The 25,795-nt window shown below is 39.5% G+C and overlaps 3 protein-coding genes and 1 long non-coding RNA gene across 7 annotated transcripts in view, besides 6 other annotated features; 2 read left to right on the top strand and 2 right to left on the bottom strand.

The window, feature by feature from the left end:
* KPNA1 (karyopherin subunit alpha 1) overlaps positions 1 to 13,632 on the top strand; it is a 93,038-nt gene extending 79,406 nt beyond the window's left edge. For all 4 annotated transcript variants that reach the window (NR_026698.2, XM_005247437.5, XM_024453514.2 and 1 more), the window contains 3 exons: positions 1,746 to 1,873; positions 7,818 to 7,996; positions 8,362 to 13,632. Coding sequence is in view for 3 of the 4 variants with exons in the window: in XM_005247437.5 (XP_005247494.1) it covers positions 1,746 to 1,873; positions 7,818 to 7,996; positions 8,362 to 8,549 (495 nt within the window). In the remaining variant the exon portion in view is untranslated. The remainder of the gene's footprint in view (positions 1 to 1,745; positions 1,874 to 7,817; positions 7,997 to 8,361) is intronic.
* The window catches only part of WDR5B-DT (WDR5B divergent transcript), a 27,042-nt gene extending 7,714 nt beyond the window's left edge, over positions 1 to 19,328 (bottom strand). The window contains exons 1-2 of the long non-coding RNA NR_125405.1: positions 19,284 to 19,328; positions 3,013 to 3,067 (exon numbers count right to left, since the gene is read on the bottom strand). This is a non-coding gene — a long non-coding RNA (WDR5B divergent transcript). The remainder of the gene's footprint in view (positions 1 to 3,012; positions 3,068 to 19,283) is intronic.
* Positions 17,859 to 18,674: an enhancer, noted in NCBI's record as "H3K27ac-H3K4me1 hESC enhancer chr3:122135707-122136522 (GRCh37/hg19 assembly coordinates)". NCBI's record gives its function as "activates a minimal SCP1, AML or CMV promoter by ChIP-STARR-seq in primed H9 embryonic stem cells {active_cell/tissue: H9 hESC(primed)}" and the evidence as "EXISTENCE:reporter gene assay evidence [ECO:0000049][PMID:30033119]".
* Positions 18,675 to 19,492: an enhancer, noted in NCBI's record as "H3K27ac-H3K4me1 hESC enhancer chr3:122134889-122135706 (GRCh37/hg19 assembly coordinates)". NCBI's record gives its function as "activates a minimal SCP1, AML or CMV promoter by ChIP-STARR-seq in naive H9 embryonic stem cells {active_cell/tissue: H9 hESC(naive)}" and the evidence as "EXISTENCE:reporter gene assay evidence [ECO:0000049][PMID:30033119]".
* Positions 18,778 to 18,977: an enhancer, noted in NCBI's record as "active region_20372". NCBI's record gives its function as "activates an Ori minimal core promoter by ATAC-STARR-seq in GM12878 lymphoblastoid cells {active_cell/tissue: GM12878}" and the evidence as "EXISTENCE:reporter gene assay evidence [ECO:0000049][PMID:35858748]".
* Positions 19,138 to 19,187: an enhancer, noted in NCBI's record as "active region_20371". NCBI's record gives its function as "activates an Ori minimal core promoter by ATAC-STARR-seq in GM12878 lymphoblastoid cells {active_cell/tissue: GM12878}" and the evidence as "EXISTENCE:reporter gene assay evidence [ECO:0000049][PMID:35858748]".
* Positions 19,218 to 19,457: an enhancer, noted in NCBI's record as "active region_20370". NCBI's record gives its function as "activates an Ori minimal core promoter by ATAC-STARR-seq in GM12878 lymphoblastoid cells {active_cell/tissue: GM12878}" and the evidence as "EXISTENCE:reporter gene assay evidence [ECO:0000049][PMID:35858748]".
* WDR5B (WD repeat domain 5B) lies at positions 19,472 to 23,688 on the top strand. The gene has a single exon (NM_019069.4). The coding sequence runs from the start codon at positions 20,006 to 20,008 to the stop codon at positions 20,996 to 20,998; it is 993 nt and encodes a 330-aa protein (NP_061942.2). The 5' UTR covers positions 19,472 to 20,005; the 3' UTR covers positions 20,999 to 23,688.
* Positions 19,728 to 19,927: an enhancer, noted in NCBI's record as "active region_20369". NCBI's record gives its function as "activates an Ori minimal core promoter by ATAC-STARR-seq in GM12878 lymphoblastoid cells {active_cell/tissue: GM12878}" and the evidence as "EXISTENCE:reporter gene assay evidence [ECO:0000049][PMID:35858748]".
* FAM162A (family with sequence similarity 162 member A) overlaps positions 23,200 to 25,795 on the bottom strand; it is a 28,153-nt gene continuing 25,557 nt past the window's right edge. Inside the window, exon 5 of the mRNA NM_014367.4 lies at positions 23,200 to 25,795. Within this exon, the coding sequence (NP_055182.3) occupies positions 25,703 to 25,795 (93 nt within the window). The 3' untranslated portion in view covers positions 23,200 to 25,702.

The following is a 25,795-nucleotide window of genomic DNA, read 5'->3' as shown; positions in this document are numbered from 1 at the left end:
TGGGCTTTATGCTGAGCACGATTGGCTTTAACGCTTTCCAAGTAAGATATTTATTTTTCCAGTGGACCCATGTAGATTGCCTCAAATTTTCATGAATTTTTGGATACCCATTTTTCTTTAAATAGTTACTTGGTTTTTACTTTTGTCTTTGTATTGGTGGGAGAGTAACTCAAGTGGACGACAAGCAGTGGGCCAAAGTGTTCAGCCTGGGCAATGTTCAAGGATGGAACAGTGGGTAGGAAAAGATATAACACAGACATAGAGGGCCTTGGAGATGAATGGAAACAGAGAGATCATCTAATCCAAGGTTTTCATTTACCACAATTTTGTGTGTGTGTGTTTGTGTGTGTGTATTGAAGCATCCATTACATTGTATCCCATAAATATATACAATTATTATTTGTCAATAAAAAATTTGAATAAAAAGATGAAACGGCTCATGGAATTAAAATGATTTGCTCAAGAGCACCTCTAGTAAAATGACAGGACCGGGATTAGGTGTCTTTCCAGTAATCAACTTTGTCAAACTTTGTTGACGTCCTTCACAGGTATAATAAGAGTTTTTGACCAGGAAAGCATTTTGTCCCCAAAATGCTGAATTAGGAACTGAGATTAATAGCTATAACAATCTATAGCATTCATATGAGGTGATTTCATCTGTATTTGATTGCCTGTCACCACCAGGCTTTTTTATGCAGAACTTCTCAGTTTCTTAATGTAGGAAATGATATAAACCCATGTTAGGTACTTGAGCCAGGAAGAAACAGGGAGAAAGTAATTTTGGGAAGGCTACTTTAGTGTTAGTACATGAAGGGGATTGAGTAAAAGTACTCCATCCAACTATAAGTCTTATTTTGGTAATCTGGGAGGTGGTGGCTTGGAGAATAGCATGGCAATGCCAAAGGAAAGGAAAAAGATGGACTCAGGATTTTAAAAATTGAGAATGTAAATTAATAGCCTTTGTGAACTAGAGGGGTTTAAAAGGAAACTTGATATAGCGGGCAGATGATGTGTTTGAGATGACTAGCAGACCTAACGTAAACTGCTGGCTACCCTGGGCTGATGCTCCAGTGAGAAGTGAGGACTAGAGAGTTTTCGCACATGGAAGTTCACATGCTATGAGAGAATGGAATAGCAGAGGAGCAGAAAATTGAGCTCTTAACAATTTGTTACTGTGGGCAGAACAAAAGAGGAAAGTGAAAGAGAAAAGAACTCAGAGAAAATAGGAGATTATAAGATCATAAACTCCAGGGAAGATGTTTTCAGTGATACCAAGACAGAATAAGGATTAGGGATAGGCTGGGTGCGGTGGCTCCCACCTGTAATCCCTGCACTTTGGGAGGCCGAGGTGGGTGGATCACCTGAGGTCAGGAGTTCAAGGCCAGCCTGGCCAACATGGTGAAGCCCTGTCTCTACTAAAAGTACAAAAATTAGCCGGGTTTGGTGGTGTGCACCTGTAGTCCCAGCTACCCGGGAGGCTGAGGCAGGAGAATCACTTGAACCCAGGAGGTGGAAGCTGCAGTGAGCTGAGATTGCACCACTGCACTCCAGCCTGGGCAACAGAGTGAGACTCCATCTCAAAAAAGAAAAAAAAAGGTTAGAGATAATGACATAACTCTTTTCAATTTATTTCTGACAGGAGAAGGGGTGTTAATAGTCAAACTAGCTTAGAAATTATAATTAGTATCATGAATATTTTTATAAATCTCACAGTTTTTTCCATTTAAGTTTTTCTTTAATTTTAGACTGTGATAGATGCCAACATTTTCCCAGCCCTCATTAGTATTTTACAAACTGCTGAATTTCGGACAAGAAAAGAAGCAGCTTGGGCCATCACAAATGCAACTTCTGGAGGATCAGCTGAACAGATCAAGTAAGTACCAATCAGGCAGCATATTGTAAGTTAAAGAAAAATTATTATTGTGTCTATCACTTTATAACCTCCCACATATTACCTAGAGTAAAAGATTAGCTGCCTTTGAGGGGAAAAGTAAGTGAGAGACGATCTTACCAAATAAGAATGTTTAGTTCCAGTCCTTAGGAAATTGTCCTTGGTGTCATAATTAGATGTGTATTTAATTCTTTATAACTCTCCCATTTCTTTTTGCTGAAAAACAATCCTGGGATATAAGAAGTAGGCATAGTCGAGGCTTGAGGCAATAGAAATCCTTGCTTCAACCTACTCTGGAGCTACTTGTCAGAAATATCTTGGGTAATATAGGTTACTTGTAGAACTTGAGCCCAAGTTTAATAACTCACTCTTGCCCTTTTTAGTTTAGATGTCTTAATAGTAGAATTGGATCAGAATTGAAAGAGTGGTATGTCTGAGAATGAAGTGCCAAATTTAGTAGAGGCAGGTATCTTCTAAAGTACTATGGTATTCTTGTTAAAGGGAGGAGCTGTAGCAGCTCAAGACTTAAATGGCTCCCTTGGTAGCAGCTTAGTGATTGACTGATTGAGATGGAGTCTCTCTGTTGCCCAGGCTGGAGTGCAGTGGCACTGTCGGCTCACTGCAACCTCCGCCTCCTGGGTTCAAGCGATTCTCCTGCCTCAGCCTTCCTAGTAGCTAGGATTACAGGTGAGTGCCACCACACCCAGCTAATTTTTGTATTTTTAGTAGAAACGGAGTTTTCCCCTGTTGGCCAGGCTGATCTTGAATTCCGGAGCTCCGGCGATCCACCTGCCTTGGCCTCCCAGAGTGCTGGAATTACAGGTGTGAGCCATCATGCCCGACGAGCAGCTTATAAGCTTAATGAGTGGAAGAAAACATAAATATGGATGGGAATCAGTTCTTCAAAGGAGCATCATATAATTAAATGCAAAATTCAGGACATCTAGTATTTCAGATAGGGAAAAAAAGTAATGATGAAGAGAAAAATGGAGCCTAGCCTAGACTCAGCCAGTCTTAACTTTATGGGGAATCCAAAATTAAGGAAAGATGGTTTCAAATGAGTGCTAAAGCATTAACTCCTTACTCATACGTAATATCAGACAAACATAGCTACTACTTACATTGTTGCTTTGTGGACTGAATGTAGGCATTCATCAGATGCTAGTTTTGAGTGTTCTGTTTGGAATTAAAAAATAAAAATAGTAACAAAGTACAGAAATTTATCAGGTAGAGAAAATAAGAAATATGTACCTGAAAGAATAAAATTACAAACAGATTAACATATGCAGTAGCTATTTTGGTGAAGTTCATCATGGGCAGGTTATTTCAGGGAGACAGAAGCACATTTGTCTTGTAGGTTTTTTCCAACCTCCAAAATTCTGATTCTAGAGTACTATGATTTTAATTATGCTGTCACCAGATGGTAAAAATAATGAAGTACTATAGTTATTTGAATAAGCTTTATGTTCAAATTCACATTTATAGTTATTAATTGTCTCTATATTTTATAGCAAATATATTTTCTTAATTGAAATAAGCCAGGCCGGGTGCAGCGGCTCATGTCTGTAATCCCACCACTTTGGGAGGCCAAGGCAGGTGGATCACAAGGTCAGGAGTTCGAGACCAGCCTGGCCAACAGGGTGAAACCCCGTGTCTACTAAAAGTACAAAAATTAGCCAGGTGTGGTGGCGTGCACCCGTAATCCCAGCTACTTGTGGGGCTGAGACTGGAGAATCGCTTGAACCCGGGAGGCAGAGGTTGCAGTGAGCTGAGATCATGCCACTGCACTCCAGCCTGGGTGACAGAGTGAGACTCCATTTCAACAAAAAAAAAAAAAGAAGAAGAAGAAATAAACCATAAACATATATATTTTATTATGCCATCTTTCATGAGAAAGTATTCAGGAGTATTTTGCTCTGTTAGAGAAGCGCAGAATTGCTGCTGTCCCTTTTTAAAATTCAGCATAGCTATTTATAATAAAATTAATTACCAACCTCCTAGCAGTTTCTTCTTCCCCACATGAAGAGTTATCTTGAAAGAATGTCACAAAAATATTACAGTCCAAATTACAAAAAACAAACTGACTTTATCACTTATAAAAGACATCTATCTGGCTTCTGCTGCTTCTTGTTGCAGATACCAGATTTGGATGCAAGAAACAATTAGAATATTTTAGGAAATATCTTGGCCGGGTGTGGTGGCTCATGTCTGTAATTCCAGCACTTTGGGAGGACAAGGCAAGCAAATCACTTGAGGTCAGGAGTTCGAGACCAGCCTAGCTAACATGGAGAAACCTTGTCTCTACAAAAATTAGCTGGGCGTGTTGGTGTTCTCCTGTAGTTCCAGCTACTTGGGAGGCTGAGGTGGGAAAATGGCTTGAACCCAGGAGGCAGAGGTTGGTTGCAGTGAGACAAGATCGTGCCACTGCACTCCACCCTCGGAGACAGAGTGAGAGACTCTGTCTCAAAAGATAAAAAAGAATGTTTTAGGAAACATCTAGAATTTTAGGTTGAATATAATCAAATGTTAATACATATATAACACATGTTCTTAATGAAGGATAAGGATTATTAACTGAAATTAGAGAAACATTCATCAAAGAAGTGAAACTTACTATTTGTATAGAGAATTGGCAGTTTTGGAGGGGAGAATAGCATGAGGAAAAGTGAGAGAATGCAGTGTTTTTGGAGGTGGCAGGTCAGTCTTGCTATAGGTCGTTCTTTCACAAGGATGATTAAGTAATCGACTGGTGAATACTGGGATGAAAGCCTCAGTCTTGGGTATTGGGAAGACTTGGCCTGTCTAAGCTCACGAGTGACACAAAGTAAGGCCTGTGTCTAGGTTCATTATTTTTCTGTATGGATGTTCAGTTGTTTTAGCACTGTTGAAAAGGTGGAATCCTTTCTCCATTTAATTGCCTTTGCTATTCTGTTAAAGATCAGTTGACTGTTTTTGTGCGGGTGTGTTTCTGGGCTTTCTATTCTTTTTGTGTGGGTCTGTGCATGAATTTGCAGTTTATCTGAGAAACCAAACACACAAACACACAGTTTATCTGAGAAACCACACACACACACACACACACAGTTTATTTGAGAAACCACACACACACACACACACACACACACACTGGTAGTACAGTATAGGAAGTCCTCACTTAATGTCATTGATAGGTTCCAGGAAACTTTGACTTTAAGAGAAACATTGTATATATCAAAACCAATTTTATCATAGGCTAATTAATATAAATCAGTTGAGTTACTACGTGATATTTCTGGTCAAGGAAACATCCCCAACCTTCAAAATATAGACCCAAAAACCTTCTAATATTAAACATTGAAACAGATGTCAGCTATACATAAATGTAAGAAAGATTAATAAAAACAAGTATGATAATATCCAATTTTTGGTGAATCCGTGAATGATGGCAGTAGTAGTGGTGGTGGGTTAAATCAAAGAATACAGATTTACAAAACAAAAGTTATGAGCATCTCCTACCATCCTGCCACCACACAATTAAAAAAGCAACAATAACATATAAAAAAGGATTCCCAGCACTGAAGAATTTAATGAATGAAATAAAAATACAGTTGAGATATTCAGCAGTGGATCAGATCAAGCAGAAGAAAGAATTACTAAACTTAAAGATAGGTCTTTTGAAATAACTCAGTCAGACATACATGAATGAATGAATGAATGAAAAAAATAATTAAAAAAGAAAGCCTAAATGGCATCTAGGATACCATCAGGGGAACAAACATTCAAGTATTGTGAATGTCTGGGCCCTCTATTTTGTTCCACTGGTTTTTTGTTTGTTCTTTCACCAATACCACACTGTCTTGATTAGATTATAGTAAGTTGATAATGTCATTCCTCCAACTTTGTTCTTCAGTATTGTATTGACTATTCTGGGCCTTTTGCCTTCCCATATAAACTTTAGAATCAGTTTGTTGGTATCTATTAACATGCTGGGATTTTGTTTGGGAGTATCACATTGAATCTATAGATCAAGTTGGGAAGAATTGCCATCTTAACAATATTGAGTCTTGTCCATGAGCATGGAATATTTCTCCATTTTTTTTTTTAGATCATCAGTTTTGTAGTTTTCCTCATATATATCCTGTTGTACATATTTATTAGATTTACACTTTTTTGATGCTGATGTAAATGAGATTCTTTTTTTTTTTTTTTTTTTTTTTGAGACAGAGTTTCGCTCTTTCGCCCAGGCTGGAGTGCAGTGGCACGGTCTCGGCTCCTGCAACCTCCGCCTCCTGTGTTCAAGCAATTCTGCCTCAGCCTCCCAAGTAGCTGGGAATACAGGTGCCCGCTGCCATGTCTGGCTAATTTTTGTATTTTTAGTAGAAACGGAGTTTCACCATGTGGGCCAGGCTAGTCTTGAACTCCTGACCTCAGGTGATCCACCCGCGTTGGCCTCCCGAAGAGTTGGGATTACAGGCTTGAGCCACCATGCCTGGCCTGTTTGCTGAGTTTTTATCATGAATAGGTATTAGATTTTGTTAAATGCTTTTTTGCATCCGTTGAAATGATCGTAAGTTGATTACATTGATTCATTTTTTTAAAATGACGGATCAGCCTGGCATATTTGGAATAAATCCACTTGGTATATAATTCTTTGTATACATTCTTGGATTTGATTTGATAATGTTTTGTTGAGGATTTTTGTATTCATGTTCATGAGACATATTAGTCTGTAATTTTCCTTTCTTATGATGTCTTTATTTAATTTTGGTATTGGGGAAGTGCTGGCCTCAAAGATTGAGTTAAGAAGTATCCCCACTGTTTGTTTTCTGGAAGAGATGGTAGAATACTAGTATCGTTTTGTCCGTAAATGTTTGCCAGAATTCACCAGTGTGAAACCCTCATCCTGATGTTTTCTATTCTGGGAAGTTATTAATGATTCAATTTATTTAATACATGTAAGCCTGTTCACATCAGTCATTTCTCCATGACTGAGTTTTGGTGGTTTGTGTCTTTCAAGAAATTGTTCATTTTATCATCTGAATGATCAAATGTGTGAGCATAGAGTTGTTTGTAGTATTCCTTTATTATCCTTTTAATATCCATGAGATCAAGTGATGATTCTCTTTCATGATATTAGTAATTTTGTCTTTTCTCCTTTTTTCTTGTTTGGCTAGAGATTTATTTTTATATATTTTTGAATTCTTCCTCCCCCACACAAAAAAGCAATATGTGAGAAAGAAATAGATTAGCACTAGCAGTAAGTTTCAAAATGACCTTACCAAACATTCACATAATGCAACTGGATTCATTATCCCTGCCTCTCTGTACTCAACTTGAGAAACCAGAATGATAAAAAATGACATGACTATTTACTGTGAATGTGATACAGTAATCATGTCTCTGAAGTTCAAGTATGATTAATCTTGATTACATACGGTTATACATTCTGCTTGAATTAAAGGAAAAATACCAGTTCTAGAATCCTCTGACATTTGTTTATTCTTCCCACAACTTACTTTACTAAAATTCTAATCATCTTTGAAAGATTTGGCTTATCAGGCTTGTGCTGGCTTTTAGCACCAAGAGTGTCATGTTTGAGAGGTGTGGCTATCTATGGAAACAAAGATGAAATTACTCAAACCTATACTATTTTGATGAGTCGCTCATTTCAAGGTATTAATAAGTAAGTATTCCTGTTTTTGGAATGCATAAATTGTGAAGAGAAAAGAATGGAGAAAGGTGCCAGAGAACTGGTTTGGGATAATTTATTTAGAGGGTTTTTTGTTTTTGTTTTGTGAAAAGGTATAGCTTGTATGGTTGAAAGAGTGCTTGTTTTTTGTTTTTTTTTTTAAGTCTCTGCAGTGAAGTTGAGGATGACTTGCTCACTAATTTCATAAGTTTAACAAAATTAAAAGTTTTGTTTGACTACATTATTCTTTGTATTTAGGTACCTAGTAGAACTGGGTTGTATCAAGCCGCTCTGTGATCTCCTCACGGTCATGGACTCTAAGATTGTACAGGTTGCCCTAAATGGCTTGGAAAATATCCTGAGGCTTGGAGAACAGGAAGCCAAAAGGAATGGCACTGGCATTAACCCTTACTGTGCTTTGATTGAAGAAGCTTATGGTAAGATGCTTTGGTTGAAGAAGTTTATGGCCAAGAATGAATTGGGTCATAGATAGAGTTCAGTAAAAACAATACTACTACTGCTAGGCACTGGATGAAAAGAGGACTGTTAGGAAATTGCTGCTTCTGCAGACTGGATATTACTTGCATATGTATTTAAGATGTCAGTTTATAATACTAGCTTTCAGATGTAATCCCAGCAGTCATTTCTGTGCTATTATAAAATACTTATGAGATACAAATAATCTTTCTTTACATCAAGAACAGAGATATATGACAAAATATAGTTTAGGAATATATAGTTATGGAATTTCCAATATTTATTGAAGTTTTCAATAAAGATTTTCCTTTATTCTTCATTTTAGGTCTGGATAAAATTGAGTTCTTACAGAGTCATGAAAACCAGGAGATCTACCAAAAGGCCTTTGATCTTATTGAGCATTACTTCGGGACCGAAGATGAAGACAGCAGCATTGCACCCCAGGTTGACCTTAACCAGCAGCAGTACATCTTCCAACAGTGTGAGGCTCCTATGGAAGGTTTCCAGCTTTGAAGCAATACTCTGCTTTCACGTACCTGTGTCAGACCAGGCTACCCAGTCGAGTCCTCTTGTGGAGCCCACAGTCCTCATGGAGCTAACTTCTCAAATGTTTTCCATAATACTGTTTGCGCTCATTTGCTTGCCTTGCGCACCTGCTCTCTTACACACATCTGGAAAACCTCCGGCTCTCTGTGGTGGAATACCCTTCTAATAAAAGGGTAACCAGAACGGCCCACTCTCTTTTACGGAAAAATCCCTAGGCTTTGGAGATCCGCACTTACATTAGAGTTATGGGAATATACACATATTAATGTGGCTCCCTTTTTCTTGTGGGGGAATAAAAGAGGACTCCTCCTCATTCCCTTTAACATGGGGGAAAAAACTGACATTAAAAGATGAGACTAAATCTTTATCTTGAATTTTACACAACTACTTACGACAAGGGAGATGTTTAGACCTGTTGTGTATACTTCAGAGTACTTTTCATGAGTTCTTCCACAGTGAACCCTTGGATTACCTGGTGGCTTTTTCTAGCCAGATTTGCATTAATCCTTACTGAGATTGGATGGTTTTCTTTCCTCTATTGGCGCCATTCTTCAGATATTAAAGTTAAACCATCCACTCCCTCACCTTCAGCCTTCAGTGAATGTGCTTTCTAGTTGTCAGGAATGCTGAAGAATTAACACTTTGACTCCTAAATGTGATACTGGTTTGTAGATTCCCTTAGAGCAGAAAGGAGAGGGGCACATATTAATTTGTATCGCTTTTGCTTCTCTTTGGTCTTTTGTGTCTTAGAATTTGGAAGTGGTTCATTTCTGTTGCTGGTATGAGGATTTCGAATACTTAGTAATCGAAAACCATATCCTGTAATTTAATAAAAAAAACTAAGGACGAAAAAACCCTCCAATTTTCCCAAATGCAATCAGTGTAACTAGGGGCTGTGTTTCTGCATTAAAATAAATGTTTCAGGCTTTGTGGTCCTGATCAAGGTCCTCATTAAAAAATTGGAGTTCACCCTAGGTGCTTTTCCCCTCTGTGACTGGCAGATAACACATACTTTTGAAAGTAACTTTGGGATTTTTTTCTTAGGTGCAGCTCGATTCTAATCTTTTCATGCTGCACACGATTCCTTTAATGTAGCATCCTTATCTGAAAGAAATAACCATCTTCTCAACATGACCTGCTTAACCCAAATAAGAACAGTGATCTTATAACCTCATTGTTTCCTAATCATTTTATTTCATCTCCTGCTAGTACTGTGCCGCTTCCCCCTCCCCCCACACAAAATAAAAACAGTATCTGCCTTCTGGCTCATTTAATGATGACTGCAATCTGTACCTGCAAATGGCGCTTCCAGTACTGTGTTCAGTGATCCACATTTGTGCTTGGACTGGAATGAAAAAATACGCTTAATTGCCAAGACAACTGCAAATGAGTTCAATACGACTTCTCGGTGCTAGTTGGCCATCTTGACTCAATGTTGGGATACACTACCAGAGAAGATTTTTTTGTTGATGTGCTGTTCAAAGTGAATTCTGAAGGAAAAGGTTGCTCACCTCTGTTTCAGAGCATACCCTTTTAAACCTTTTTAGACTTGTCCTCTTCTAGAATTCATTATAACCCCAAAGTGTAAAAACTATTTGGAAGTTGCCCCTGACAAGCTATTATACATCTCTGGTAAATCCTGCTGAATGTAAGGGATATTCAGAGCTTTTCATACCTCATCATGATGTTATTTAAGCAGCCAACTTATGTGACCTGATTTAAACTTTTAAAAAATCCACTTCATTCAAACTAGAAAGAGTCAAAGACAAAGGACATTTATCAGCCAAGAGTGTGACGCATTCTTCGCATCTAGTCTGTAGTAGTGTCTGTGCTCTGGGATGGATACCGTCTGATGTCTGTTTGTTATTGATGGCGCAGCCACTGCAAAACTAGTCAACTCCCATCTATAACTGTTACTTTTTCTAGTGCTGCTTTGTGCTGAGAGAACATTTTAGTTTACTGCACTTGACCTGTAAAAGACTGATTCTTTGTAATTTTAGGGATAAATTAGGTGGTTAATTTAAAGAAGAAATTTCAATGTTGCCTTTACATCACATTAAAATATAACTTCTTTCAGAAGGATAATAGAAGCACTGATTCATAGTAAAAATCTTGTTTTTAGCTTTGACTTTTTTGTGGCTGTTTTTTAAAATTGTAAATTACTAGTAACATGTCATTTCTATAGGATGTTTTAAATTATGTACCTTCCATTGGATAGTTAAAATAATTTCATTTTATAAGCCAATTTGAGTGGGAAAGATACAAAGCACACAGTTGTCTCCCCACATTAGGAAGAGTAGTGTGCATTCAGACATTCGGAATTTTTGCTAGTAGTTGGAGATGTTTCAGTGAGTGAATTAAAACAAAGTCTATTTAACTGACGTGATCTATTTTGTGTCTAAAACAGAGGAATTTATCTTGTCCTAGAAGTTCATGAACTATAAGATCTAAGTTTTTTTTTCTTTTTTAACAATAAAATGATTTTTTCTTAAAGTATCAAAGTTGGAATTGGCTAAAAGTGAAGTAGCATAACTCAGATATGTTGGAACTTGGTACTGAAGCAGGCTTTTTGGTAACAGAAATGACATTTTAAGGGGTAACTGTATATCCTGTTTTTAGTTCTTTGCCTCTCAGATTCTGTTAACTTAGTTTAAATTCACTGAATACCCTACCACTAAGGCGTTGCTCATTACAAAAGCATGTTAATTTCAATACAGGAAAACTCTTTTGTAGTTTTATATATGGATTGGGGAAAGTGACTTTGTTTTACTTTTCCTTTTTATTCCCCTCCATCCTCCAAACTTCCAATCTATATTATTTGTAATGAGAACTTTGGTGGGGGAAAAAAAGCATTAAGAGAATTTTGGATGTAAAGGCATCTGGTATCTGATGGACCAGCAGGTAGATGTGGTTGGATTGAGAAATTTTGGGTAAGGTAGATGATAGAAGAAAGAGATTTTAGGAGACACAGTTCTCTGTGGAACACTTTCTTTCATGTTCCTGTAACTAATTGATCAAGACCCTTTTAAACGCTTATCTTTGTCAGTTCCGCTTTTGAAAAAACTATTGCCCTAGGATTGTTTCTTCCATATGACAGATGAAGGTTATTGGCTCTGAGTCATTTTTGGCATTATCGTCACAGATAAAAAGATTGGCAATTAATCTCATAAAAAATCTGAATTATTCCAGATTGCTGCCGATTTTTGCCTAAGAAACAATATGTAAGTATATTTTATAAACCAAACTTTGTCAACCAATTCTATTGTACGTCTACCCACAGGCAACTTTGAATTTACTTCTCTAGTGCTAAATAAACATTTCAGCGATTTAATCCCCCAACTTGGGGGATGCATTATGAAAAGGTTTTCCTGGAGTCAAGGGGTTTTTCTTTCTCGCTAGTTTTGTGAAAATTTTTATATCAATAGGCAAATCATTATAACTTTTTAGGGGTTGATGGTTTTTAAGTATATTGGAAATTGTGGTGTCTAAGGATGATGTTCAGTGAAGAAAAGGGATCCACTTTTAGAAACCAGCATTGTTTGCTTTCAACTTTCATACTGTATGCTAACTCCTACGTTCCAAAATGTGCTCATTTGCAGACACAGGTATGCCTATATACATGGAAGTCTCAAATCTGAATTTTTATCCATCTCAATATGACCATTTCTCTCTGTTGTGAGCTGAACAGATTAAGTATATATCTGCCAGGTTGGGAAATATTTTGGTCTATCTTTTCCTGTCATCAGAACTTAATTTAAAAAAATTATCAAAGGTCAGATGTGACTACTACAGTAAGTTGGCTATCATAAAGAATATTCCATAAAATGTTTTATCTGCCATACAAAATTACTGGGTTTATGGCCGGATGTGGTGGCTCATGCCTGTAATCCCAGCAGTTCAGGATTACAGGTTATATACAGGTTATAACAATGGATACCAGGACATCAGAATATCTGATAAAGCAAATATTTATATGCTAATTTAAAATATCAAATTGCTACTGGACATAAAATACATCTGGAAGCTTGGGGTAAGAAGAAAGAAAAGAAGTGTTCCGTTCTGTTTTCAACTAAGGGTAAACGAAGTCCCAGAGTGTTTTCCCTGTAGGTCAAATTAAGGTAACATGTCTTTATTTGATCATCTATTGTACACCAGATACCTGGCTAAGGGCTTTCCTTTTTTCTCATGTAGTCTTCCAAATGTTCTTTGATAATTGTCACTATATTATAGATGACAAAGTGAAGACTTACGAGAAATTACTTTGCCCCAAGGTTACAACACTTAGATGGCTGTCCAAGGGCGGGGAAGAGCCCTGCAAATTCTGTGTCTTGAAGAAAGCAGTGGCCACGCAGTAGTTCCGTGCCCAGGATCTCCCAGAACTAGACTTGGCAACCACAGCTGGGCCAGCCTTTTTTGTTAGACCATTCTTCCTGACTCCTGCTTACCATCAGCACCCTTAAAATGACGAAATCAGGCTTAAGTTGCTTTTAGGTTACACAGACTGGAGTGTAGGCCCTCTCAGGCCAAACATCTTTCCTCTTCTGTGGTGCTAAAATTCTGTATGACCAGACAAGTATGGTAATAGGTTTTTTTTTTTTTTTTTTTTGTGCAAATGATTTTGTGTTTAGTAAAATAATGGCTAAACACATGGATCCATTCAAACGCACAAATGTGGAAAGTATTGACACGGAAGGAAAGGCTTTGAAGAATTACTGCCTCAGGAAGCAGTGCCATGGATGCGAATTTAACACAGTCTACTTCTTCCTAAAGGAATATCATCCCAAGGAATGTCAAAAATTAAAATCACCTTTTAATGTACTGGTTGTTGAGTGTTTCTGCTTTACCTCAAGTCATTCTGACCACTCTACATCCTGCTTCAAAGTGTTCTGACACTTAGATTTGGAATGGCTCTAATGATTCTTTGTACTTGAATGTGGTCTGTCAGGCCATGGGTGAGTGCCTTGCACATAGTAGACATTCAATAAATACTAAATGAAGGAATATGCATGCATCTTTGTGATGTTAGTAAAGGGTGCTTGATAAAAGAAAATTCAAAGGAATTCCCTTATGCTGTTACTTGAAACCAGGATCAACATCTTAAGCAAATGTCTCAACGTGTTTTATATGCAGTTACTTTTCAGAAGACATGATTTGACCTGAAGTTTACAAAATCAAACATTGTCATAGCAGAGGTCTGGTATTTAAAAACAAACAAAGTGTCTTAGAAAAGCTAGTGGCCGGGTGCGGTGGCTCATGCCTGTAATCCCAGCACTTTGGGAGGCCGAGGCAGGTGGATCACGAGGTCAGGAGATCGAGACCATCCTGGCTAATATGGTGAAACCTCGTCTCTACTAAAAGTACAAAAAACTAGCCGGGTGTGGTGGCGGGCGCCTGTAGTCCCAGCTACTTGGGAGGCTGAGGCAGGAGAATGGTGTGAACCCAGGAGGCAGAGCTTGCAGTGGGTGGAGATTGCGCCACTGCACTCCAGCCTGGGTGACAGTGCAAGACTCCATCTCAAAAAAAAAAAAAAAAAAAAAAGCTGATGGGTATATTTTACAGTAAAGAAAAAAATTTATTAATATCCAACCGACGTGGAAGCTGCTGGTTGCCTTAGGCTATTACACAGGGATTTTTCCTTTTTACATATTGTATGTATTGCATAAGTGACAGATGAGTAGAAACAAAGATGATTTATTTCTTCACTCCATGACTGCTTCTCTTCTATTTTGTTGAAGAGATTCCACTGACCAAGTATTTTATTCTGAAAACAAAGAACATTTGAGGCAAAACATAGCCTTAGTTCCTGCAGACTACATTGTTTTATAAATCGTACAAAATTACTGGGTTTATGTCCAGACGTGGTGGCTCATGCCTGTAATCCCAGCACTTTGGGAAGCCAAGGCAGGCAAATCACTTGAGGTCAGGAGTTCGAGGCCAGCCTGGCAAACATGGCGACACCCTGTCTACTAAAAAAAAAAAAAAAAAAAAAAAAATTAGCCAGCCATCGTACCACAAGCTTGCAATCCCAGCTACTCAAGAAGTCGAGGCAGGAGAATCGCTTGAATCCGGGAGGTGGAGGTTGCAGTGAGCCAAGATTGCACCACTGCACTCCAACCTGGCTGACAGAGCAAGACTCCATCTCAAAAAAAAAAAAAAAAAAAAAAAAAAAAATCACTGGGTTTACAAGTTTATTAAAGATAGCTTGAATGATTGTTGCCCCATTTCACTTGCATTTTGAAGGAGTCATTGTTTTCTCTAATTTTAAATTAATATACAGTCATTTCTGTGTTTTTTTGCAGAAAGTAAAATTACTCATTCTTATTCATATCCACTTAACCTGCAGAAGGCCAATGTAGTCCGCTGGGAGTCCTCAATAAGGATCACTGCTTTACCCATCACTTGGGCTGGGCATTATTAAGATACAGTGATGGGTAAGGAGAAAACAGAAACGCAAAAGACCGTAATGGGTGGTGAGAGAACAGTACCAGGTTTGGGAGAGACCTGCGCAGGCTGAGGTGTAAACTACCAGAGTGTGAAATGGTTGCAAGATTAAGTTACGATTATGAGGAGTGTCCTCTTGGGAAGTCAAAAGTAGTGTCTGCTGGGCACAGCCCCAGTTTACATTTGGAGATCAGCTAACACCTGTGAATTATTTTACTGCCCCCTTTCACTTTTAAAAATGTCCCAGTTTAGATAATGTTACGTGGCCACTCCATATTTATAAAGCCCAACTAGATTTTCATACATTGGCTAATGGTCTTAAGCAACTAGGTATACATAGTTCTATTAATGCTTGATATTGAGACTGGATTTGGTAGTCAAGAATTGCTATGAAGGATGTTGAGACATTCCTTAATGTGGGAATCACTCCCATGCCACGGTTTGGTCCAGCACACATACAAAAAAAAAATTGTTTTTAAATTTAAAAATTGCCCCATTTGTGGCAACACATCTGTTTAGATATTTACAATACTGAGGGGCAAGGGAAACACACCTTTAAACTATATTAAGATAAGAGACTTTCATTTCTTTTTTTTTTTTTTTTTTTTTTTTTTTTTTGAGACGGAGTCTCGCTCTGTCGCCCAGGCCGGACTGCGGACTGCAGTGGCGCAATCTCGGCTCACTGCAAGCTCCGCTTCCCGGGTTCACGCCATTCTCCTGCCTCAGCCTCCCGAGTAGCTGGGACTACAGGCGCCCGCCACCGCGCCCGGCTAATTTTTTGTATTTTTAGTAGAGACGGGGTTTCACCTTGTTAGCCAGGATGGTCTCGATCTCTTGACCTCATGATCCACCCGCCTCGGCCTCCCAAAGTGCTGGGATTACAGGCGTGAGCCACCGCGCCCGGCCTTCATTTCTAAGATGTCTGGGAAATTTAAAGAAATCTAGTTGATTTCTGTAGGGAGGAAACTTCCAAAGCACTTAGATGGTAAAGATTAAGGGCAGCAGAAATAGAAACTGTTAATGAGACCATGTAAGAAATTTTGCTTGGTCAACCCGGGCAATGTAGTGAAACTCTGTCTCTACAAAGGGTTGTTGTTGTTTTTTTTTTTTTTGAGATGAAGTCTCGCTCTTGTCCCTCAGGCTAGAGTGTGATGGCACAATCTCGGCTCACTGCAACCTCCGCCTCCTGGGTTCAAGCGATTCTCCTGCCTCAGCCCCCTGAGTAGCTGGGATTACAGGCGCCTGCCACCACGCCCGGCTAATTTTTGTATTTTTAGTTGAGAAGGGGCTTCACCATGTTGGCCAGGCTGGTCTAGAACTCCTGACCTCAGGTGATCCACCCGCCTCGGCCTCGCAAAGTGCTGGGATTACAGGCGTGAGCCATAGTGCCCAGCCAACAAGGTATTTTAAAAAGTAGCCGGGCATGGTGGCGGGTGCCTGTGGGAGGCTGAGGTGGGAGGATCGCCTGAGCCCTGGCAACGCTGCAGTGAACTGAGATGGCACCACTGCACTCCAGCCTGGGCGACAAGGGCAAAACTCCGTCTCATAAATAAATTAATAAGTAAATAAGAAACCCAAAATGCGTATCTCTTATTCTGCCACTTTGGATTTACCTACATGTATCAGTATTCAGCAAAACTCCGTCTCATAAATGAATAAATAAGGAACCCAAAATGCAAATCTCTGTTCTGCCACTTCGGATTTACCTGTATCAGTATTCCGTGCTCCTGCACCGAAATGTCGCTGATCCTCCCAAGCAAGTAAACTGAAAATCTTAGTTCTAATTTCCTAAGGACTACAATGTTAGGACTACATGTTAATATCAGAACATGAATGAATAAACAATAGAACATAACTAGTTATATTCGCCAGGCGCGGTGGCTCACGCTTGTAATCCCAGCACTTTGGGAGGCCGAGGCGGGCGGATCACCTGAGGTCGGGAGTTCAAGACCAGCCTGGCCAACATGGAGAAACCCTGACTCTACTAAAAATACAAAATTAGCCGGGCATGGTGGCGCATGCCTGTAATCCCAGTTACCCGGGAGGCTGAGGCAGGAGAATCGCTTGAACCAGGGAGATGGAGATTGCAGTGAGCTGAGATCGCGCCACTGCACTCCAGCCTGGGCAACAAGAGCGAAACTCTGTCTCAAAAAAAAAAAAAACTAGTTATATTCATAGCCTTGATTTTGTTTGCATATGTTCCTAATGCTATTTGTAAACAAATCCCAGACATCAAGAAATGGATTTTGTTAATAGGAATTTCTTCAGATTTTAGGAAAATCTGAAGAAAAATAACTTCCGGATCTTCCTATCAACACATCCTTTATTGTGTCCCCCCCTCTCTCTTGCTTGTGATAGCTGTGGTGGGCTAAATATATTCCAGCACTAATACCCTATCCTAGCCTTCATGTCAAGTGTTCACGATTCTTAAATTTTACTCTTCTAGTGCATACAACAGTTACTGGAAAATGCAGATTTAAATTATTTGAAACAATGATTAAATTCTGCTCCTGTGCTCCAAGGGGCTTTTACGTTACCTTTTATTGAGTTAATAAAAATGGAAATAGTTTTCAATTGGTGCAGTTTCTAAACTTCTCAGCAAAAATCACTAATCCAGGCTAATGGGAAGAGAAAAGCAGCAGCAGGGTTTAGTTAGAACTGAACTTTAAGATATGCTGAAGGAAAAAAAATTTCTAAAAGTGTTAACAAGGGGAGGTCCATGGAGACCTTAATAGCTAAAAACCGTTGTAATTTAATGTATAGAAATAAATACTCTAAACCATTTTAGAGTCTTCATTCTCAGGACTACCTCACTGTGTTTATACAGTTAATATGCACTAGCTAAGACTAAAGTATTTGTCCAATTCTTATTTAAATTTCCCCCTAGACTGGTAGGGTCTTAAAGTAATGATATTTTAACTACAGTCGGTTTATTACAGGTGACCTAACGGTGCCTGTTGTGCCTTATAAAGGCCAAGACTTTCAATTATCCCTAATAAGTATACAATAGGATACCCATTGTTTCCAAGTGCTTTTAAATTCTTGACGCTGATGAGACATTTGCATCGTGACCAGCCACCAGTAAAATCTTTTAAGCCACGTTTTTTCTGCTTTTCTTGGGCACTCTTTTTTTTTTTTTTTTTGAGACGGAGTCTCACTGTTGCCCAGGCTGGAGTGCACTGGTGGAATCTCAGCTTACTGCACCCTCCACCTCCTGGTTCATGCCATTCTCCCACCTCAGCCTCCTGAGTAGCTGGGACTACAGGCGTGCGCCATCACGCGCAGCTAATTTTTGTATTTTTAGCAGTATTGGTTGCGCCATGTTGGTCAGGCTGGTCTCGGACACCCGACCTAAAGTGTCCCGCCCGACTGGGCCTCCCAAAGTGCTGGGATTACAGGCGTGAGTGCTCGGCCTCGGGCACTCTTTACTGAGCAACAACAGGTTGGAGAAACTAGTAGGGCTTCCAGTTTTTTGGTAAACCTATTGTTTAAAAGTCTGCCTGGTCATCAGATTCCAGTCGTCTTGTTTCTGCCTCAGATGATAAAACTCTAAAATTATAGGATGTGAGATCTGGAAAATGTTTGAAAACACTAAAGGGGCACAGTAATTATGTCTTTCGTTGCAACTTCAATAGCATGTATATTTTACACACTTTCATGACCATTAATCATCTCCTAAAACTGGGGAAAGCTCTCTAAAACCTCCTTAAGAGTAACCTTATCCGTTACCCTATTCCACCAACCTCTTTGTCCTTTTCTGTTTCAAGCAACTTTGAGATACCGACTTCTCTATGGAAGCTTAAGCCGTAGATGCTAAAACAAACGTTTGCTCGTTACTCCCAGCAGAGCACCGGCTTTTAAAGGACCTCAACAGACACGTTTCTTAACCTTTACGAAACTTTTCCAGGGGAAACTTAAACCAGGAATTTTACAATCTGGCATAAATTCTGTCACCCGCCCCGTGACTCCATCGCCACACATGCCACCTGGCTCCACACCACAACAAACAGGAGGGAGCGGAACCCATGCAAAGCAGGAGCTTCCCCCGTTTCCGGCGTCTGGGTGGATCTACGTTAGCTGCCGTTTAGGCAGCTTACGCGTCAGGTGTGGGCCTAAGCCTGCAGCTAAGGTAGGCATCCGCAAATCTAGTCCTTCTCTGTGACAATTTCCAAAAAGAAATGGTTTTTGAAACAACGATCCACTGCTTCCCACACTATCCAGTTAGGTCCGGGACAGACCCTACCCAGCTAATGCACTCACCCAAGAAGGCAGTCGCTTTCGCATTTGAAGGGCGGGGCGAAAAAGACCGGAAATGAACATTGGCGACTTTTTTGCGCAGGCGCAGATGGCCGTCTCCCATTGGTCATCTCGGCTCGGTAGTGGTAGGAGGGACTTCCTTTGCACATGCGCCAGGCTGCTTTTCCGGCTTTGTTGGAGATTGACGCGGCAGTGCACACCTGCTGGTACGAGCAAAAGTAGCCGACAGGCCAGAGTTTCCAGTTTCGGTGGCTTCGTAGGCTTTTAGCTTCTGAAATCCGCTAAAAGCGGCGGTTCATTCATCTTCAAGTACCTAGCCTGACTGGTAGGGCTGCTCAGCATTCCGAAACATTTCGACCTGGGGAGGGGGGCGGCGGTGAAAGAATACTTTCTGTAGAGAGTGCCCCTCGCGTCGCCCCTGCTTTGAAGGCTTTATGTATTAACGGAATGCCGAACATTTGTGTCCTACTTGCTGACAGCGCACAGGATCCTTCTAACAGTATTTCTCAAGTACTTAACAAAAAGATGAAAACTTGAAGTCCAAGCCGTGCTGCTGATTCCGTCTCACAGTTTAAAGACTGTCCAGAAACTTTAAGCTTTCAAAACTGTACATTTTAAAATCCTGTGCGTTTATCTTCATTTTGCTGGGCAGAAAGCCAAAGTACTGGACTGCCTGGTTCAGGGCTGAACGCCTAGTACACCTGCTAACTTGGAGCTTCAGAGCCATGGCAACCAAGGAGTCAAGAGACGCCAAAGCACAGTTGGCCCTCTCCTCATCGGCCAATCAGAGCAAGGAAGTGCCTGAAAACCCAAACTATGCTCTCAAATGTACTCTTGTGGGACACACGGAAGCAGTGTCATCAGTTAAGTTTAGTCCTAATGGAGAATGGCTAGCAAGTTCTTCTGCTGATAGGCTAATCATAATTTGGGGAGCATATGATGGAAAATATGAGAAAACACTCTATGGTCATAATTTGGAAATATCGGATGTTGCCTGGTCATCAGATTCCAGTCGTCTTGTTTCTGCCTCAGATGATAAAACTCTAAAATTATGGGATGTGAGATCTGGAAAATGTTTGAAAACACTGAAGGGGCACAGTAATTATGTCTTTTGTTGTAACTTCAATCCGCCATCCAACCTTATAATCTCGGGATCTTTTGATGAGACTGTAAAAATATGGGAGGTGAAAACAGGAAAGTGTCTCAAGACTTTGTCTGCTCATTCTGACCCAGTTTCTGCTGTTCATTTTAATTGTAGTGGGTCCTTGATAGTGTCAGGTAGCTATGATGGCCTCTGTAGAATCTGGGATGCTGCATCAGGTCAGTGTTTAAAAACGCTCGTTGATGACGATAACCCTCCTGTCTCTTTTGTAAAATTTTCTCCAAATGGTAAATACATTCTCACTGCAACTTTGGACAACACTCTTAAACTATGGGATTATAGCAGAGGCAGGTGCCTGAAAACATACACTGGTCATAAGAATGAGAAATATTGCATATTTGCCAATTTTTCAGTTACTGGTGGAAAGTGGATTGTGTCTGGTTCCGAGGATAACCTGGTTTACATTTGGAACCTTCAGACTAAAGAGATTGTGCAGAAATTACAAGGCCATACAGATGTTGTGATCTCAGCAGCTTGTCATCCTACAGAAAACCTCATCGCATCAGCAGCATTAGAAAATGACAAAACAATTAAACTGTGGATGAGTAACCACTAATCCCTTTGAAAATCAAGTAGTAGAGCCAAGTTGGCCAAAAAACTTGGATATTTAAAAAGACGGTTTCTTTTAATTTTGGCAGTTTGGTATTTTAAAAATTGTCTATTGTTAAATTTTGAGATTCATACACTACATTTACAAAATGAGATAGTTGAAAAAGCACATCTAGAATTCAGCTTCTGACTACCAATCTTTTTTGAGCAACTTTTTGTAATTTTTATGGATTTATGTCACTTTTATTACAGGGATATATTGCATAGTGGTGAAATCTGGGCTTAGTATACCCTCACCCAAATAGTATACATTGTACCTAGTAAATACTTTCCCATCTCTCACCCCACTCCCACCTTTGAAGGCTCTAGTGTCTATGATTCTGCTCTCCACGTCCAGGTGTACACATTGTTTATCTCCCACTTACGAGAACATGTGGTTTTTGACTTTCTGTATCATTACTTCACTTAATGGCCTCCAGGTCCATCCATGTTGTTGCAAAAGATAAGATTTCATTATTTTTTTTTGGCTGAGTAGTATTCTGTGGTGTGTATGTGTGTGTGTGTATGCATATATGTGTATGTGTATGTATATAAGTATATACACCACATTATCCAGTCATCTGGATATGTATATAAGTATATACACCACATTTTCTTTATCCAGTCATCTCTTGATGGACCCTTAGGTTGGTTCCATAACTTTGCTATTACGAATAGTGCTGCGATAAACAGCACTATTATGAATAGTGCTGCGATAAACAGTGCAGGTGATTTTAAAATATAATTTCCTTTGGGTAGATACCTACTAGTGGGATTGCTGGATCGAATGGTAGTTTTTAGTTGGAAAATCTCCATACTGTTTTCCAGAGGTTGTAAAATGTACATTCCTCCCCACAGTGTATAAGCTGTGCCTTTACTCTGCATCTTTGCCATGATTCTTTTTGAGACAGAGTCTCTGGTGCCCAGGCTGGAGTGCAGTGGCACAATCTTGGCTCACTGCAACCTCTGCCTCCCGGGTTCAAGCAGTTCTCATGTCTCAACATCCCAGGTAGCTAGGATTACAGGCGTGCCACCATGCCTGGCTAATGTTTCTATTTTTAGTAGAGACAGGGTTTCACCATGTTCGAGGCTGGTCTTGAACTCCTGGCCTCAAGTGATCCACCTGCCTCGGCCTCCCAAAGTGCTGGGATTACAGGCATGAGCCACTGTACCCAGCCATTTTTTGACTTTTTAATAATAGCCATTCTAACTGGTTTAAGAGAGTATCTCATTGTGGTTATATTTTGTATTCCTCTGATGATTAGTGATGTTGAGCATTTTTTTGTGTGTGTTTGTTGGCCACTTGTATGTCTTCTTTGAAAACTGACTTCTAATCTTGAGGCCTATTAATAATTTCATTTGTCTGTCACTGGACAATTTCTCATTCCTCTCAGTGACTATCCTAGAGGATCAGTGTATTTGAGAAATATTTAGAAGTAAAGTTGACAGGACAGGATGATTGATTAAAAGAGGGGAGCAAGGGAATTTGAAATAATTCCAGGGTTTCTGGTTTGGGAGATCAGATGAACAAGTGCATAAGCCTGGGATGCTGGTGGAGGACTGGAGAGACATGGCAGATGCTACCTGCACACTTTTGGTAATATTCTGTGTGATGGGATATGAAATGGTCCATAGAAAAAAACCGGAAAAATACGCCAAGGTTAGGTTCATTCTAAGAGTCTAAAAATTTCAAAAACCAAAACAACATTATAAATGGTGTTTCTCAAGGACCTTTCACTACCTTTTTAGATTGTGCTTGTGATTTTCAGGCAAGCTAAATGTCTGATGAAGACTGCTCTTCTTTTGTTCTGTGTCTGACCTACTAATTCCTGCCCATGCTTCAAACTCAGTTCAGAAATCACTGAAGGAACCATCCACTGCCGGCCTGCCTGCAACCACAGCTGACAGCTGAGTTAGTTAGGTTTTCCTGTCCCTATTATTTACCAGTTTGTACTGAAATGCTTTCATGGGCTGTGCTTCCAGATTATGAGTTCTGTGGAATCAGGAAGTATGTCTCTGTATTCTTGTATTCTTTGGCTTTTTTGTGTAGTAAAGGGACTCAAGTAATGTTTGACAGTGAAGGATACAACTTCATTCCTTGCCTGCTTTGATAAATTTTAGTAATAAATTCCCAAAACTATCATGTTGATTAAAAATAAAAAGTAACCGTAACCTCACACATTAACTTTATTCAAACAAACAGCACTTACAGGAAATGTAAAGTAGAAAAAGATTTCTGCCCACTTTACCTACGGAGACATGATAAACACGCAAAAAAAACCTAGAAATTAAGCAAAAAATAGCACAATAATTTAACTGAAAGCAACAAGGGCAAAACTGTCTCCTTTTGTAGTTTGTGGTACCTTATAGTAGTGCTCATTCAGTTTCGTTTGCTTGATAAATCTGAGGACTATGAGATATCAGAGTTACTAGTAGGGTAGGAGTGCTGTAAGGGTACTGGGAGAAGTAGGATTAGTTAGGGGCAGATCTTGAATTCTGGCCAAGAAACTGATATTTAACCCATAAAGAGATAGTCACTATATGTTATCAAATAGGAGAATAACACAAATGAGAAATGACTGTTAATTCCTGATGCATAATAACAGTTGTGAGCTTTAGTTTAATGTAATATTTGTAATAAAAACGTTTGGCCAGGCACCATGGCTCATGCCTGTAATCCCAGCACTTTGGGAGGCCGAGGGAGGCTGATCACCTGAGGTCAGGAGTTTGAGACCAGCCTGGCCAACATGGTGAAACCCCCGTCTTTATGAAAAATACAAAAATTAGCCAGGTGTGGTGGTGCACACCTATAATGCCAGTTACTGAGGAGGCTGAGGCACGAGAATTGCTTGAACCCGGGAGACGGAGGTTGCAGTGAGCTGAGATCATGCCCTGCACTCTAGCCTGGGCGACAGTGCAAGACTGTCTCAAAAAAAAAAAAAAGGTTTCATTAAATTTAAGCTCATAAATGTTACTACATTTATAATGTAAATCTCCAAGATACAACACATTTTTGTTGTATTGCTCTATGAAGAGGATTATTTTTAAAAGAAATTCCACATTAAAATTTATCCACATTTAAAACATTGGTGTAGGTGTCCCAAAATAAGAAAAACTAATCTTCTAAAATGTACAAGAAACTATGCTTTTTGAAAATAAATTTGCAAGTGATAACTTGATACCTACAAAGAAGCTAAGGCCAAATTAAAGTATATAGACAGACATCATAAACATCCTCAGATAGATTATCAAGCTATAGGTAGTATGTTACATTTTACTGGGTATTTTATTTGGGAAGAAAGTGCCCAAACAGCTGCATGTATTTTTAATCTCTCTTATAACTCTCTGAGAACCAGCATGTTGGCATGGCTGTATACAGTAGTCACCCCTTACCCTCTGGGGATATATTCCAAGACCCCCCAGTAGATGCCTGAAACTGTGGATAGTACCCAACCCTGCATATACTATGTTTTTCGTATACATACATACCTATGATACCGTTTATTTTATAAATTAGGCACAGCACAATGCACTTTGAGGCAATTATTAAATAAGAGTTACCTGAACACTAGCACTGATTCCACGACAGCTGATCTCGTAACAGAGACGGCTAGCACATACAGTGTGAATACACCAGAGAGAGGGATGATTCACATCCCAGGTGGATGGAACAGATTGGCAAGAGATTTCATCATGCTACACTGAATGGTATGTAATCTATAACTTATGCATTGTTATAGGAATTTTCCATTTAATATTTTCAGACCTCAGGTAACTGAAACCACAGAAAACAAAGCCGTGGATAAGAAGGGACTACTATAATGGCTTGTCATCCATGAATAATTAAGAAGCATGTGAGAATCAATGTTTAAAATAGAAACCTGTATTCATACCTAAATATGAGACAACTCGATATCCCAAGGTCAAACTGTAAATGAGATATATATGAGGTGCAAATACTTCTAACAGTAATAATACATGAGATTTTTATAATTGAGAAATTTAGTTTCTCAGGTGGTAAGAAAACAGCCAGTTGAGAATTCTAAGGCATGAAGCTAAGAGGTGACTTGTGTTGACCCCAAGCAACTCCATGACGCTGGGATTTCTAAGTCCTTAGAAATTCCTGGCTGGACCTTGTCAGAATGTTTAAAAAACTATTCTCCTAAAAGCCTCCATCTGCCAGCATGTTCAAAGATTATAGAATGTGGTCTGGCTGCTTCTCAGCGCTCGCTCTATTAGGGGGCAGCCTCCCCACCAGTACACCAGGACATTTGAGAAGGCTGGCCCTCCAAGCTGCACCTGGGCCATATACTCAACTGGCCTTCCTTATCTCCTCAAAATGAGTTCGCCTGTGGAGAGGTTACTTTGATAATGGGAAGAGAAGTAAGATATGGTACCTGCTTCTCTGAAGAGTTGGTATTCAAGTTGAAATAAATTGTTTCATTTTTCTCCAAAAGGCTGAGAGGCTACACTTGACTTGGATCAAAACAATAAAACACAGTCATTATTTAAGAAAATTTATTTCTACTTCTACAGCAGAAATACGGAAATGGTACAGGTTTGGGCAAATCATACTTTATGAAATGGATCCTCATACCACATCCTTTTTAATACAGGCACGTTATAACATAATTCCTGGATTTTCAAAATCCAGCCAACACGGATACCTCTGCTACTCTGTTTTGGCCTTCATAGCTGCTTCCTCTTTCAGACGAGCTTTCTTTTCTAAGTTCAAGCTTGTTAAAGTCTCGTGTCTTTGGGCAGC

The sequence above is a fragment of the Homo sapiens genome, chromosome 3 (genome assembly GCF_000001405.40).
Source record: "Homo sapiens chromosome 3, GRCh38.p14 Primary Assembly".
Taxonomy (NCBI): Eukaryota; Metazoa; Chordata; class Mammalia; order Primates; family Hominidae; genus Homo; species Homo sapiens.
Note: the sequence above shows the minus strand (reverse complement) of the source record. Positions and strands in the feature narration are given on the sequence as shown.